At 37.9% G+C, this 16,635-nt stretch overlaps 1 protein-coding gene across 22 annotated transcripts in view; it reads right to left on the bottom strand.

Annotated features, from left to right (window-relative positions):
• Nucleotides 1–16,635, bottom strand: part of WNK3 (WNK lysine deficient protein kinase 3) — a 166,078-nt gene that overhangs the window by 32,323 nt on the left and 117,120 nt on the right. For 6 of the 22 annotated variants that reach the window (XM_047442382.1, XM_047442383.1, XM_047442381.1 and 3 more), the window contains exons 18-21: nucleotides 13,864–13,954; nucleotides 13,197–13,327; nucleotides 11,793–12,406; nucleotides 7,664–7,875 (exon numbers count right to left, since the gene is read on the bottom strand). In XM_047442382.1, the coding sequence (XP_047298338.1) occupies nucleotides 7,664–7,875; nucleotides 11,793–12,406; nucleotides 13,197–13,327; nucleotides 13,864–13,954 (1,048 nt within the window). Of the gene's footprint in view, nucleotides 1–2,731; nucleotides 3,014–3,568; nucleotides 3,599–7,663; nucleotides 7,876–11,792; nucleotides 12,407–13,196; nucleotides 13,328–13,722; nucleotides 13,955–16,635 lie in introns of those variants that run through there. The other 16 variants (XM_047442388.1, XM_047442387.1, XM_047442384.1 and 13 more) reach the window with 4 other exon arrangements.

The raw sequence follows: 16,635 nt of genomic DNA on the forward strand, positions 1-16,635 counted from the left end.
CTGAGGCAGAAAGATCACTTGAGTGAGACCAGGAGGTTGAGGCTGCAGTGAACAATGATCATGCCACTACACTCAACCCTGGACAACAGAGTGAGACCCTGCCTCAAAATAATAATAATAATAATAATAATAAGCACAAAACTTATACACTAAAAACTAAAAATGATTGTTGAAAGAAATTTAAAGACAACCTGGCTGGGCGTGGTGGCTCACGACTGTAAACCCAGCACTTTGGGAGGCTGAGGTGGGTGGATCACATGAGGTCAGGAGTTCAAGACCAGCCTGGCCAACATGGCAAAACCCTGTCTCTACCAAAAATAGAAAAATTAGCCAGGTGTGGTGGTGCACGTCTGTAATCCCAGCTACTTGGGAGGCTGAGGCATGAGAATTGTTTAAACCCAGGAGGCAGAGGTTGCAGTAAGTTGAGATCATGCCACTGCACTCCAGCCTGGGCAACAGAGAGAGACTCTGTTTCAAAAAAAAAAAAAAAAAGAAAGAAAGAAATTTAAAGACAATCTGAATAAACAGAAAGACATACCATGTTCACAGATTGGAAGACAACATTTTAAAGATAACAATACTCCCCAAATTGATATATAGAGTCAATACTCTAAATTCCAACTGTTTTTTTCAGAAATTGACAAGCTGATTCTAAAATTTACATGAAAATTCAAATTACCCAGAATAGTCAAAACAATCATGAAAGATAAGAACAAATTTAGAGAACTCAATTTACAATTTCAAAACACATGATAAACTATAGGAATCAAGATGGTATGGGATTGGCATAAGGCCAGACACAGAGATCAACGGAGTAGAATTAAGATTACAGAAATATATCTGTCCATTTCTGGTCAGTTGATTTTCAATAAGGGTACCAAGACAACTCAATGGGGGAAAAATAGTCTTTTCAACAAAAAGTGCTAGGACAAGGAGATATCCACATACCCAAAAAAAAAAAAAAAAAAAAAAAAAAGAATCTGGATCTTTAACTCACACCATATGCACAAATTAACTCATAATGGATCAAAGAACTAAATGTAGCCGGGTGCAGCGGCTCAGGCCTGTAATCCCAGCACTTTGGGAGGCCGAAGCGGGTGGAACACCTGAGGTCAGGAGTTCGAGATCAGCCTGGCCAACATGGCGAAACCCTGTCTCTACTAAAAATATAAAAATTAGCCAGGCGTGATGGCATGCACCTGTAGTCCCAGCTACTTAGGAGGCTGAGGCAGGAGAATCGCTTGAACCTGGGAGGTGGAGGTTACAGTGAGCTGAGATTGTGCCACGGCACTCCAGCCTGGGCGACAGGGTGAGACTCTGTCTCAAAAAAAAAAAAAAAAAAAGAAGAAGAAAAAAAAAAAGAACTAAATGTAAGAGATTCACTATAAAACTCCTAGAAGAAAATATAGGAATAGGCCGGGCACGGTGGCTCATGCCTGTAATCCCAGCACTTTGGGAGGCCAAAGTGGGCGGATCACCTGAGGTCAGGAGTTTGAGACCAGCCTGGCCAACATGGTGAAACCCCGTCTCTACTAAAAATAAAAAATTAGTGGGGTGTGGTGCCACGCGCCTGTGTCCCAGCTACTCAGGAGGCTAAGGCAGGAGAATCGCTTGAACCTGGGAGGCGGACGTTGCAGTGAGCCGAGATCGCGCCACTGCACTCCAGCCTGGGCGACGGAGTGAGACTCTATCTCAAAACGAAACAAAACAAACAAACAAACAAAAGAAATTATAGGAATAAATCTTCATGACCTTAAGTTAGGCAATAGATTTTTTTTCTTTTTTCTCTTTCTTTTCAATTACTATAGAGTCAATGGTGAGCCAACGGAATTTTAGATATGACAGTAAAAGCACAAGTAACAAAAGAAAAGAAACAGATTAGATTTTAAAACCATTAAAAACTTTTTGTGCTTCAAAAGACACTATCAAGAAAGTGAAAAGACAATCTAAGAATAGGAGATGATTATTTGCAAAATCATATTCAGTAAGGCTCTAGTCCTTACTCACAACTCAACAATTTCTCTACATTCCCTCCAACACTTGCTACTGTCTTAAAAATTTTTTTTTCTTTTTTTCGCCTCATATGTCCTATGTCCTTGGGAATTGCCTTTTTAAATTTCAGCCATTTTAAGTGGGTGTAAAGTTTTATCTCATTGTGCCTTTGATTTACATTTCCTTAATAACTAATATTACAGAACATCTTTTCATGTATTTATCAGTCATTCATATATCTTCTTTAGAAAAATGCCTATTTGAATCTTTTGCCCATTTTAAAATTGGATTTTTGAATCTTTTATTGTTGAGTTGTTGAACCCTCATGTCCTGCTGTTATGACTGTAAAATGGTGCAGCTATTTTGGAAAAAAAGTCTGGTAATTCCTCAAAAGATTAAACATAGAGTTCCCATGTCATCTAGCAATTCCACTCCTACATATCTATCCAAGAGAAATGAAAACAAATGTCCACATAAAAATTTGAACACAACTGTTCATAGCAGCATTATTCATAATAGCAAAAAAAAGAGAAAACAACACAAATGTGTAATCACTGATGAATGAATAAAATGTGGCATATCCATACAATGGAGTATTATTTGGCAACAAAAAGAAATGAAGTACCAATATATGTTACAACACAGTTAAACTTTGTAAATATATGCTAAGTGAAAAAAGTCACAAAAGACCACATGATGTATGATTCCATTTACATGAACTGTCCAGAGTAGGCAAATCTTATTTTATTTTATTTATTTTATTTTATTTTTTTGAGACAGGTCTTGCTTGTTGCCCAGGCTGGAGTGTAATGGCGTGAACACGGATCACTGCAGCCTCAACCTCCTAGGCTCAAGCAATCCTCCTGTCTCAGCCTTCTGAGTAGCTGGGACTACAGGCGTGCGCCACCATGCCTGGCTAATTTTATAGAGATGGGGTCTCACTTTGTTGCCCAGGCTGGTCTCCAACTCCTGGGCTCAAGCAATCCTCCTGCCTTGGCCTCCCAAAAAAGAGCAGGCAAATCTATAGAGACAAAAAATACTTTAGTGATTGATGAGGCTGGAGGATGGGGGAAGTGGGAATAAATGGCGGGGGCTACTACTCATAGAAAAGGGATTTCTTTTTGAGGTGATGAAAGTGTTCTAATGGATAAACATACATTTTAATATTATACAGCAATAAAAAATGAAGTACTGATACATGTTATAAAATGTTTGACTCCCAAAAACATTATAAGTAAAAGAAGCCAGTCACGAAACCACATATTATTGTGTAACTGTATTGATACAAAATGTTTCAGCATAGGCAAATCTATAGAAACAGAAAGCAGATTTGTGGTTGCCTAGGGCCTGTGGTTGGGGGTTTGGGGTAGAGGAGCTACAATGAGGGATGACTATGAATATGTACATGTTTCTTTGTGGAATGTTGAAAATATTCCAAAATCAAATTGTGGTAATAGCTGCACAAGTCTGTAAATTGTATAAGTTAAATGAGTGAACATTATGATATGTGAAATATCTCAATAAAACTGTAATTTTTTAAAAAAATTAAAAGTAAAGAAGCAAAAGAAATACTTACTTTCCAACTCATTTATAAGGCAGCTTTTCCCTGATATCAAACCAGAAAAAGATAGTATCAAAATTTTCAAAATATAAAACAAAAAGATGAAAACTGTAAACCAACATACTTATTGAACTTAAATTAATAAAGGGCATATACGAAAACTTACAGTTAACATTATAATTTATGGCAAAAGACAGAAGGCTTTCTCCTTGGAAGAACAAGGCAAGGATGTCCAATATAAAGTTTTAGCTAGTACAATAGTAAGAAGAAATAAAAGGCATAAAGATTAAAAAGGGAGAAACAAAAAAGTCTATATTCGCAGATGACATAATTGCTCACTCAAAAAATCCCAAAGAATCTATAAGAAAACTTCTAGAACAAATATGTTTAGCAAAATCTTCAGATGTAAGGTCGATACACAAAAATTAATCATATTTCTCTATCAATGTGTGATTGGAAACCCTGTAGAAATAAAATAAATCCTTAGGTATAAATAAATCGAAACACATATAGAATCTGTAAGCTGAAAACTATAAAAAGCAGATAAAACATATCTAAGAAGACCTGGAGAAATAAACTGTACACCAAACCCCCATGACATGCAATTTGCCTATATAACAAACCTGCATATGTACCCCTGAGCCTAAAATAAAAGTTAAAAAAAAAGACAAAAAAAAGGAGAGATAGCCTACGTTTATTGATTGGAAGACTCAGCACAGTAAAAATGTCAATTCTCCCCAAAATTGATATATAGATTTAACATAATTCCAATCAAAATCACAGCAGGATTTTTTTAGATATAGTCAAGCTGATTCTAAAATTTATATGAAAAGGAAGAGGAAGTAGAGTAGCTAAAACAGTTTTGAAAAAAAACAAAGTTTCAGGAAACATAATACCTAATTTTAACAATAATAATTTTAAAAGTTGCTATAAAACTACAATAATCAAAATAGTGTGGTATTGGTGAAAGGACAGACACATAGATTAATTGGAACAGAATAAAGAGTCCAGAAAGAGATTGACACATATATGGCTAATTGATTTTTCAAAAAGGTACAAAAGCTATTCAATGGAGAAAGGACGGTCTCTTCCACAAATGGTAATGTAATAATTGAATATCAATATGCAAAAAAGAACCTCACCCAAAACCTCACACCTCATACAAAAAGTAATTCCAAATGTGTCATAAATCTAAATGTAAACATAAAACTATTAAACTTTTAGGAGAAAACATAGAGGAAAATCTTTGTGACCTGTGTTTAGCCAGAGTTCTTAAATATTACACCAAAATCACAATTTTTAAAAAAAATTTGATAAAGTATACTTTATTAAAATCACAAACTTTCGCTCTGCCAATGACACTGTTAAGAGAATGAAAAGACAAGCTATAGACTTGAATAATATATTTCTAAATCACATGTCCTACAAAGGATTTTTATCAAAAATACAGAAAAAACTCTCGAAAATCAACCATATGAAAACCAACAACCTAATTTTCTAAAATGACAAAAATTGTTGCCTTTGGGATAAACTGAGTAAAGGATACATAGGTACATAGCATCTCTCTGTATTATTTAACTGCATGTAAATCGACAATTATCTCAATGAAAATTTCAATTAAAAATAAAACAGGATACAAAAAAATAGCAAAAAACTTGAACAAACACTTTACCACAGAGGATATACAGATCACAAATAAGTGCAAGAAAAAAAATGCTCAACATCACTAACCATTATGGGAATGAAAATTATAATAAAATAACCACTTTATATCATCAAATACCTATTGGATTGGCTAAAAAAAGAATGCTAGTAATACCAAGTGCTGAAGAGCATCAGAAAAACTGGAAGTCTCGCACATTGCTGACAAAATGTAAAATGATACAGCTGCTTGGGAAAATGGTTTGTTAGTTTTTAAAAAATGTTAAATATGCATACCATATGATGCAGCAATCTCATTTCTGGGTATTTCATCCAAGTGATCTGAAAACTTATGTTCACCCAAAAAGCTGTATGTGACTATTTACGGGAGCTTTATTTGTAAAACCCCAAACTAGAAACAACCCAAATGTCCTCCAACCGATGAATGGATAAACAAACTGTGGTACATCCATTATAACACAAAATAAGTTGAGGAATCCCAAAGACAGCCTCCAGAGACATGTTTTTACCATGAGATCATACTTCTCTGGCCATGCTTACTTAGAAACAGGTGGACACCTGACTGTAGAACAGCCCAACTATAGGCCAGGCAATGGGCTCTGACCCATTTCTTGGCATGAAAAAGATGAGCAGGGACAGTCAAATTTTCTGTCCCTGGAATCTAACAAAGGTCAGTTAAATAAGGACCTGAAAGTGAAAGAATGCTTTGGGATCACGAGTAACCAGTGTTATCTAACAGTTTTGGGAAAGCAGAAACTATGCATAAAATGAAGCCATTTGGGAATGAAACAGAATAAAATAAAGTATAGCTATTAGTGATACTGCATCAGACTGAAGGTTCATGTACTTCTGCTATTAAATCCCCAGAGCTGCCTTCAATCTAAGTCTACCCCTTAATTCTGTCTTTACAAGATCATCCAAGTACAGTTCCTTTTCTTGGGTTCTGTATTAGTTGTCTATTGTTGTTGTAACTAATTACCACAAACTTAGTGGCTTCAAACAACACAAATTGATCTTATAGTTCTCTAGGTTACAAGCCTAACATGGGCCTCACTGGCCTAAAATCAAGGTGTTGCCAGGACTGTGTTCCTTCTGAAGGCTATAGGAGAGATGTGTTCCCTGGCCTTTCCAGCTTCCAGAAGTTGCCTCCATTCCTTGGTCTGTGGCACTCTTCCTCCATCTTCAAAGCCAGCAATGTTGCACCTTTCTGACACTGTTTCCCTTTTCTCTGACTCTTCTGTGTTTCTTCTCTTCTACTTTTAAAGATCCTAGTGATTTTACACTGGACCTACCTGGATAATCCAGGATAATCTCCCTATCTTAGAGTCAGCAGATTAGCAACTTTAATCCCATCTGCAAGCTTAATTCTCCTTTGCCATATATCCTACCATGGTCACAAGTTTCAGAGATTTGCACATGGACGTTTTCGGGGGGAATTATTCTGCCTACGACAAGTTCCATTGGGATTTCACATATGTCCTTACAATACATCCTTAACCCCCACCTTGACTATGCACATATAACCAAAGAGGCCTGACCTGATTAACAACTTCTATATTAGTTAAGTAGAGATTGATGCTCTTATTTTTCAAAGTCAAAGAAGTATATTTTACTAATATTCTTATAACTAATAAAGATCTCTTCAGATAAGAGCATGAGTGTATATATATGTATGTATTTCTTTTTATGAGACGGAGTTTCATTCTTGTTGAGTGTGTGTGTGTGTCTGTGTATATGTGTGTGTGTGTGTGTGTATATATATATATATATATATATGTATGTATGTATGTATGTATTTTAGATGGAGTTTCGCACTTGTCGCCCAGGCTGGAGTGCAATGGCACAATCTCGGCTCACTGCAACCTCTGCTTCCAGGGTTCAAGCAATTCTCCCATCTCAGCCTCCTGAGTAGCTGGGATTACAGGCGCCTGCCACCACATCCAGCTAATTTTTGTATTTTTAGTAGAGATGGGGTTTCGCCATGTTAGCTAGGCTGGTCTCGAACTCCTGACCTCAGGCGACAGGCCCACCTCAGCCTCCCAAAGTGTTGGGATTACAGGCGTGAGCCACTGCGCCTGGCCGAGTATAATTTTAAGATTATCTTGTTACCAACAAACTCTCCAACAAACTCTAAATGCTAGACCAGAAGTTCCCACTGACTGATAACATTTCAAAAATTATTGTGGGGATTGGCATTGGGCTTCCAGCTGCTGGTTTTCCAAATAAAAGCATGAACCATACTCAGCTTCTCTTTACAATCTATCAATTATCCTAATCATTACTACATAAAAGGACATTTAACATCAAAAACAGAAAATAATCTCAGAATAATGTGTACTTCTTTAAATTATTTTAGCCTAATTAAAAATAAATTGTATTATAATCATTTTACTAATTTTGCTAATCTTGGACTAGATTTTTTAAAAATTACTTTTATGACTGATTTACCTGTAGCAACTATGCCATTGTCCACATGTGTCAAGGACTGGGGGCGGCTTCGAAGTTTGCTTTTGAAAGATCTTGGTCGACGTGGTGATGCAGGTGGCAAAGGAATCTCAGTAGATTGGGTTTTGCTATCTTTAATTGACCGAAGGCGTTCATAGAGCTCCTGCAGCTCCTTATTCTGCTGGGTTTGAAGATTTACCACCTCCTGAATGTGTCTGAATGAAAATCATGCAAAAAGCATTTTAATGGCACTGGCTCCATAAAGATGAGCCAAGAAACTCTAAACCAGTATAAGTAAAGTTTAACAAGGAATTTAGATTAAGAATGGGGAAATAGAGACTAGGCACAATGGCTTACATCCATAATCCCAGCACTTTGGGAAGCCGAGGCAGGAGTATTGTTTCAGACTAGAAGTTCGAGACAAGCCTGGGTAACATAGGGTGACCCTATCTCTCTAAAAAAAAAAAAAAAAAAATACAAAAATTAGCTGGGCACGGTGGTGCATGCCTGTAGTCCCACCTACTCAAAAGGCTGAGGTGGGAGGATCACTTGAGCCCAGGTATTCAAGGCTGCAGTGAGCCAAGATCACACCACTGCACTCCAGACTGGGTGACAGAGAGAGACCCTGTCAAAAAAAAAAAAAGAAAGAAAGAGAGAGCGAGAGAGAGAGGGAGGGAGGGAGGGAAGGAAGGAAGGAAGGAAGGAGGAAATACAGAGTATTTTCACAATTTCCGGAGGGGAAGTGGGAAATGCCTTCCTAAGCATAACATTTAACTGTAATAATCACTCATGAAGAAAAAGATTAACAAATTTCTAAAACTGAAATACAGTGAAAGTCAGTAAAACAAAATGTAAAGTCAAATAGTATTAATAATATTAACATTTTTTGCCAGACGCAGTGGCTCATGCCTGTAATCCCAGCACTTTGGGAGGCTAAGGCAGGAGGATCGCTTGAGCCCAGGAGTTCAATACCAGCCTAGACAACATAGTGAGACCCTGTCTCTCTGAAAAAAAAAAAAAAAAAAATCAGCCAGGTATGATGGCACGTGCCTGTAGTACAAGCATCTCGGGATGCTGAGGCAGGTAGATCTCTTGAGCCAGAGGTCAAGGCTTCAGTGAGCCATGACAGCACCACTGCACTCCAGCCTGGGTGACAGAGCAAGACCTCATCTTAATAATAATAATTGTAATAGTAATAAAAGAAAGAATAATAAAAATCGGTGAAGAAACCATAATGCTAAAAGAACACTGAAGGATGAATAAATTATCTTTTAAGATCCCTTCTAGGCCAGGCATGGTGTCTCATGCCTATAATCCCAGCACTCTGGGAGGCTGAGACAGGAGGATGGCCTGAGGCTAGAAGTCTGAGACCAGCCTGGGCAACACAGGGAGACCTCATCTCTACAAAAAAATTTAAATATTAGCTGGATGTGTTACACGTCTGTAGGCCCAGATACTTGGGAAGCTGAGGTGGGAGGATGGCTTGAGCCCAGGAGGTAGAGGCTGCAATGATCCATGACTGCACCACTGCACTCCAGCATGGGTAACATAGTAAGACTCTGTCTCAAAATAAAAGATCCTTTCCAGGTCTTGGGTTCTATGAGGTTATGAGAATCCATGTCTCACATTCAAAATTAAGTAGATATTCATAACCACCCAGTTACAAAAAACTAGCCAGCTACAAAAGCTACCAGTCATTTGACAATGGTTTAAAAGAACCATTAAAAACAGCAATAGAAGGCCAGGTGCAATGGCTCACGCCTGTAATCCCAGCACTTTGGGAGGCTAAGGCAGGCGGATCACGAGGTCAGGAGATTGAGATCATCCCAGCTAACACAGTGAAACCCCGTCTCTACTAAAAATACAAAAAATTAGCCAGGCGTGGTGGCGGGTGCCTATAGTCCCAGCTACTTGGGAGGCTGAGGCAGGAGAATGGCGTGAACCCAGGAGGCAGAGCTTGCAGTGAGCCGAGATCACGCCACTGCACTCCAGCTGAGGCAACAGAGCCAGACTCCGTCTCAAAAAAAAAAAAAACCAAAAAAACCAAACCAAAACAAAACAAAAGCAATAGAATACTTATATCACAAATATGAAACTGCTTTAATAACTTTTATTATAAAAAGTATCAGTGTACATATACTGTATAGTACTTAATATATAAGTTGACGTATACATAATGTAATGTCAAGCCTGTATATATATTTTAAAGTGGAATATCAGCCTTCTGGTGATGAATATTTAAAGTATATATTCACAATTTTCTTGCAAGCTCAAGTTAAAAACACTGAAACAAGTTAGAGAGAAAATATTATAATTATCTATCATTGGAATGACAGTTTTGGGTTTTTTTCTTCTCTGGGCAAGGCCCTAGAAACTAAGAAATTTCCAAGGATTTTAACCTGCTTTAATTCTTGAAGCACTTGAACGTAGCATCCAAGTGGAGCATTATTCAAGCTTGTAAGAACTTGACTAAAATCCAGCTTTTTATTTTATTTTTTGAGATGGAGTCTCGCTCTGTCACCCAGGCTGGAGTGCAGTGGTGCGATCTCGACTCACTGCAACCTCTGCCTCCAAGGTTCAAGCAATTCTCCCTGCCTCAGCCTCCTGAGTAGCTGGGATTACAGGTGCGCGCCACCACGTCTGGCTAATTTTTGTATTTTTAGTAGAGACGGGGTTTTGCCATGTTGGCCAGGGTGGTCTCAAACTCCTGACCTCAGGTGATCCACCCGCCTCGGCCTCCTAAAGTGCTGGGATTACAGGCATGAGCCACTGTGTCTGGCCAAATCCAGCTTTTTGCGTGCCTATTTAGTCCTCCCTGGTTCTCCCTGCTTTACAAATTGTTCAAGTCCCAGAACAGTGTGGAAATTCTCTAAAGCATAAGATATATTCAAAAATTGCTAGAGTTGGTTTCAACTTTTCAAAGTAAGGGCATGGGGTCGTCAATAGGAGGCTAGTAATTAACTTATGAGTATATACATATAATGGAATACTTTGAAACAGTCAAAAATATAATGATACAGATATATATCCAAGATACTATGAAATGGTAAAGAAAACCAAGATATAAGAACAGTCTTGCAGTGTAAGTTACTATTTGGGGAACAAAGAATGAAATATGCATATTTGTTTGTACAGTTATAGACTAACTGGATATACAAGAAACAGGTAATATTTATTGTGTCTAAGGAGAGAACCTGGATAGTTCAGCTGCAGTGCTAGGAGGGAGACTACTGGTTACCCTTTTGTACCTTTTGAATTTTGAACCATGTGGATAGAATTAGAATTCAGCAACTTAAATATGAATTTCTTTTCTTTTTTTTTAGACGGAGTCTTGCTCTGTTACCCAGGCTGGAGTGCAGTGGCGCACGATCTGGGCTCACTGCAACCTCCACCTCCTGGGCTTAAGCGATTCTCCTGCCTCGGCCTCCCAAGTAGCTGGGAGTACAGGCGTCTGCCACCACACCTGGCTAAGTTTTGTATTTTTTTTTTTTTTTTTAAATACAGACAAAGTTTCACCATGTTGGCCAGGCCGGTCTTGAACTCCTGACCTCAAGTGATACACCTGCCTCTGCCTCCCACAGTGCTGAGATTACAGGCATGCGCCACCATGCCCAGCTGGCCTGAATTTCTTTTTTTTAAATGACCTATTTTATAAAACTAAATACAAAACAGCATTCTATTGACAAAATATATTATCATAATATCACTAGTGAAGGTTGATTACCTCAGTCACCAAATAATAAGCTTGATCTTGAAAGTATCTTACCTTTTCCTAAAGAAGATGAACCACTATCTCTGATTATAATAAATCAGCTGTTTACTTATCAAATGTGAAATTATATAAGAATAGTTGTAAAATCTAAAACCAAAAGTCCTGAAGAATAAGGATTGTAAAGGTTAGCAAAAAGAGTAGTTAAATCATATTGGTAAATAAGCAACTGTAATAGTCTTGAGACTATGAAAACATTTTATATATAAGAACTTTTTCTCATTCATAAATGTTTAGCATTAGCATTCTTTGTAGTTTTCAATCATTAAAATGTCACCAATCCTAAATTAGTTACCAATCCAATACTAAGTTCTATAAAACCTAGGGCAACCAGATTTGTGACAAAAGAGAAACAGTCCTTACTTTTCTCGTAATCTTTGAAGCTCCACCTTCAAGTCCTCATCCTCTATTTCTGATTCATCATCACTGCTCATTGGGGAAGATGGCGAATAGAAGAGTGAACTCTGTGTTTGAGCATAAGCTTGTTCTTCGTGGTGTGGTAAGCACTGATTACTCTCTGGACCAGTCTTTGCCACTGACTTTCCACTGCCAGCAAGACTGGCTGAAAATTCACTATCAGAGCTAGGCTGTTTCCCAGCAGTCAATATCTCTCTCTCTTTAAGCAACAGTTCAGATCCAGACTGCATGCTACTTCCTGTGGCTGAAGTTTCTTCAAATTCCTTTTCTGGGGTCACTGAAGATACATCAGTCTCACAAGCTGCGCTGAAAGATAAGAAGTTGTCACCTTGTTTGGGAACTCCTTTATTTTCTTTACAGGTTTCCTGAAGAGCTTGTAACTTCTCATAAGAAAACGAAGTTTTTGGATTTTGTGTGGCAGGTTCTATTTCTACCAACTGAGACTTTGCTGTTTTAATAAAGGCTTCTTCACTAGAATGGTTTGTCTCACTGAACACTGATATGTGTTCTATTCCAAAAGATGTCATTTTTGCTGACTGCTGCTGAGGAATTGTAATCACCTGAGATATAAAAACGTAAAAGTGGTTAGCATAGCACAGACAAGTAGATGCTCTGCTGTGATGTATATGTATTGATACTAGCAAAACTTAAAAATTTAATCTATACCCCCAAATTCACTCTTTCAATCAGGCCCCTTGGGTAAAGAGAGTGGGCATCATATTGCTCAAATAAAATTCCACAATTAGAGTTGCTGAGATTCTAAAGGACGTGAAATTACATTTATAAAAGAGGACCCACCCACCCGCCAAAAGAAAACCTATTTCTGTGCTCTCTACCAGCTATGAAAATCTCCATTTCTTTAGATTCATCTTTACTGATGGCTTCAAAAGGTGAGGGGATGCATGCAAGATGAACAAATTAAATATGACAATGATCTACATTTAAAGTAAGTATCATCGGCCAGGCATGGTGGCTCATGCTTGTAATCCCAGCACTTTGGGAGGCCGAGGCAGGCGGATCACCTGAGGTCAGGAGTTCAAGACCAGCCTGGCTAACATGGTGAAACCCCGTTTCTACTAAAAATACAAAAAATTAGCCGGGTGTGGTGGCGCGCACTTGTAATCCCAGCTACTCGGGAGGCTGAGGCAGTAAAATCGCTTGAACCAAGGAGACGGAGGTTGCAGTGAGCTAAGATCACACCATTGCACTCCAACTGGGCAACAAGAGTGAAACTCCATCTCAAAAAAAAATAAAAACAAAAATGGAAGTATCATCTACAGACCAAGATCTCCACTGGCTGTTATATTTTATAATGCCCTTGTAGATAAGGATTCAATCAAAGACACAAACCTGGAACCGACCCCGCTGAAATGATCCACTCATCGCTTTACATCTATTCAAAGCCCTAGTATCAGCTGTGGACTCCCGTGTCAGAGGAATGGGATCAGGAGCAATTGCTGATCTCATCTCTTCTGTTTCCACTGCAAGTTTTGCCAAATTGTAAGTAAAAAAGAGAAAATTGTTTGTTAAGACTAAATTTGTTTACATTACCAAAAATGAAGAAAAGTAGAAAAAGCTTAACTCCTGCTAGACAATTAAAAGGTGTTAATGTAATAAGCAACATTGTATTAAGTCCCTAAGTCTAAATCAGACATTGCAAGATTTATCCCAAGACTTAGTATCTATATGAAATGAATAACCGGAAAACCAAATTAGTTACAAAAGGAAAAAATAAAATGGCAATGACATTAATGGGACATGTCACATACATGGGCTATGTGGAAAAAGTGGCAAGATTTGTATATGAACAACAAAAAAAATAAGTAAATGAAAAGTGATGTTACCTAGTCTATGTCCCTGACTGTAAGCACACTACCTTGACGGACTTTTGATCTCTTGAAAAAGCTGGTTGACTGCCGTAGCCTGTATGCCCAGCTTTTTAATTTGCGAGTCCAGGATTTCTTGCTAATAGGATTTTTGAGACTAGGACAAGTAAAGCTTAGGCCAAAATATCCACCTCCTGTCTGCAGATGAATGGCTCCACCGCTTGACACAGCAGCAGGATAGGCCTCTGGATCCCCTGGAAGTGAAGCATCTGAGGACATCTCCTAATGGAGACAAAACAAAACAAAACAAAACAAAACAAAACAAAACAAAACAAAACAACCGAGAAAAACCAAAGTGGTAATAATTTAGGTAAGGTGAAGCTTTTAAAAAAAAAAAAAAACGGAATTTCTTGTATAGACTAATCTTTAACCCAAAATAGAGTATTACGTATATAGTTGCATTAATAGTAGCATATCAGACTGAACCCAAAGTACTCAATTTATAAAAAGCCTTGTTTCTTTAAAAATATTATTTAGACTTTAGTAAATAAAAGAGAAGATTATTAATCTTCTACCCCAGAATATTTTTCATCATTATACAAACTTTGAAAACTGAAAATCAAATTAAAATTTCCTTCATATGTGCCAGTTTACTAAAAAGGTTACTAAAACTCCATGCTATTATCATGGAAATTTTCATTTATGCCTATATTATTTAAGAGACTCAGTTAAAGATGCTTGAAACACATAAAAACAGAAAAAAACAAGATATCTAGGCACTTAGATTTACAGAGAAGTATCAGGAAATCAAGTTTCTTACTTTATGAAAGCATAGGGAAATTTATAAAGGACATCAAAATTACTTCAAAATCATGCTCTAAAAATTCTTGTTAACGTCAGGCTATGCTGGCTATAAAATCAATCCCCTCTTCTTGTCCTTCTACTCCCCGCAAAAGGGCCCCAGATATAACTGTTGTATCTAAATGAGTGCTTTAAAGATAAATCCCCTATAATAATTAATATGAAAAGTTAGCACAGACAACCACAAATATTTTGGGAAACATGAGAAGGGTCACTACTAATCTAGAAGATTAAAAAAATATATAAAAGCACAAAGAATGGGATTTAGCATTTGCCTGAAAGAAGATAGCCTACATGGCAGTAAGTATGATGTCTTGGGTAAGCATTATTACTACTTAGGGCAGGGCTGGGCGCAGTGGCTCACGCCTGTAATGCCAGCATTTTGGGAGGCTGAGGTGGGCAGATAACCTGAGGTCAGGAGTTTGAGACCAGACTGGCCAACATGGTGAAACCCCGTCTCTACTAAAAATACAAAATCAGCCTGTCGTGGTGGTGCCTGCCTGTAATCCCAGCTACTTGGGAGGCTGAGGCAGGAGAATAGCTAGAACCCGGAGGCGGAGGTTGCAATGAGCCGAGATCGCACCATTGCACTCCAGCCTGGGCAACAAGAACGAAACTCTTGTTTCAAAAAAAAAAAAACAAAAAAACAAACACAAACTTATGGCAGGTCAGGACATATTAAAAATAAAATTGTAAGCAATCAGTTTTTACTTTCTGAAGTCTCATTTTAAACTAGTAATAATTAGTTTCATGAGAAGAAAAAAATCAGTATTACAATTTAGAAAATGTTACATTGGTCCCACTGAAATTACAGAAAAGAATTTTAATATGTAGTAACTGGATCAAGATGGCAAATTAAATATTTGTTCTAGCCTTCCTTATCAATCCAAATTTACAGACACAACAGGAAAATATACATAGACACATGCATATATGACTGACAGAGGAAAAAGTAGACCATGACATATGTAGGAATTGTTTCAAAATGCTGCAAACCTGAGTGGCTGATACGGGCAGCAGGAGAGAACCCTGGCCAACTAAAAAGATGAGTGGTAGGCTAGAATGCTTACAAAACTCTATCAGATCTATCTTCTGTCTCTTTCAATGTTATCTCTTAATGCTCTCCTGTTTACTGGCCGCCTTTTGGTTCCTTGAACAGATCTCTGCCTATGACTGTCACCATCACATACAAGTCTTTCCCTGACTACCATATATAGGTTTAGTATCCATTTTCTTCTACTAGATGTAAACTCCACAAAAACAGAGGTTTTGACTTATTCACTGCTAAAGAGATATTTACTGAATGGAAGAATGAACTGGTTGGGATAACAAAGAAGGAACAGGCAGGCAGTTCTGTCCCTTCTCTCCCCACCTCCAGACCAAGCAAAGGGCAGCAGAGGCATGCGCCCCCAAATAAGAGCAGTAAGAGGAAAAGGTTTTGTGGCCAAGAAAGAGGTCAACGATGTAGGAAGGAGACGACATCCAGGAAGAAAGGTAAGCCCTCCTACATTTGGAGACTAGCTACTGGGCCACCCTCCAGGCAGCATTAGAGATAAGTTACAAAATACAGTGCCAGGGAGCATGTCCCATACCTTTCCCACAATTACTGAAGGAAAGTTACGGTAATTACATAAAACACTTACAGACAGATGAACAAGGAATCTCATGAGTGAAAAAGAAGAGAACACAACTAAGAATCACTAAACACCAAGGGAAAACTAACATTATAAGAAAATACTAAACTCGGCAAACAGAATAGCCAAGGAAATAGCATTAATAACACAGAATAAGACTTCAATATATTCAGAGAGATGTGTGAATATACTACATTGATAAAGAAAGGAATGAACTACAGTTACTAGAAATTAAAACAATGTAATACTTGATACAAAAAATAGCTGAATAGGAGATGCAACCGCTTAAAAATTGAGAAATTATCCCAGTACAAAAAGCAAAAGGACAAACAAATGAAAAGCATAAGTTTATAGATAAGAGCTGCGCGCAGTGGCTCACACCTGTAATCCCAGCACTTTGGGAGGCTAAGGCGGGTGGATCATCTGAGGTCAGGAGTTCCAGACCAGCCTGGTCAACATGGTGAAACC

This window comes from Homo sapiens, chromosome X, assembly GCF_000001405.40.
Source record: "Homo sapiens chromosome X, GRCh38.p14 Primary Assembly".
Lineage (NCBI taxonomy): Eukaryota > Metazoa > Chordata > Mammalia > Primates > Hominidae > Homo > Homo sapiens.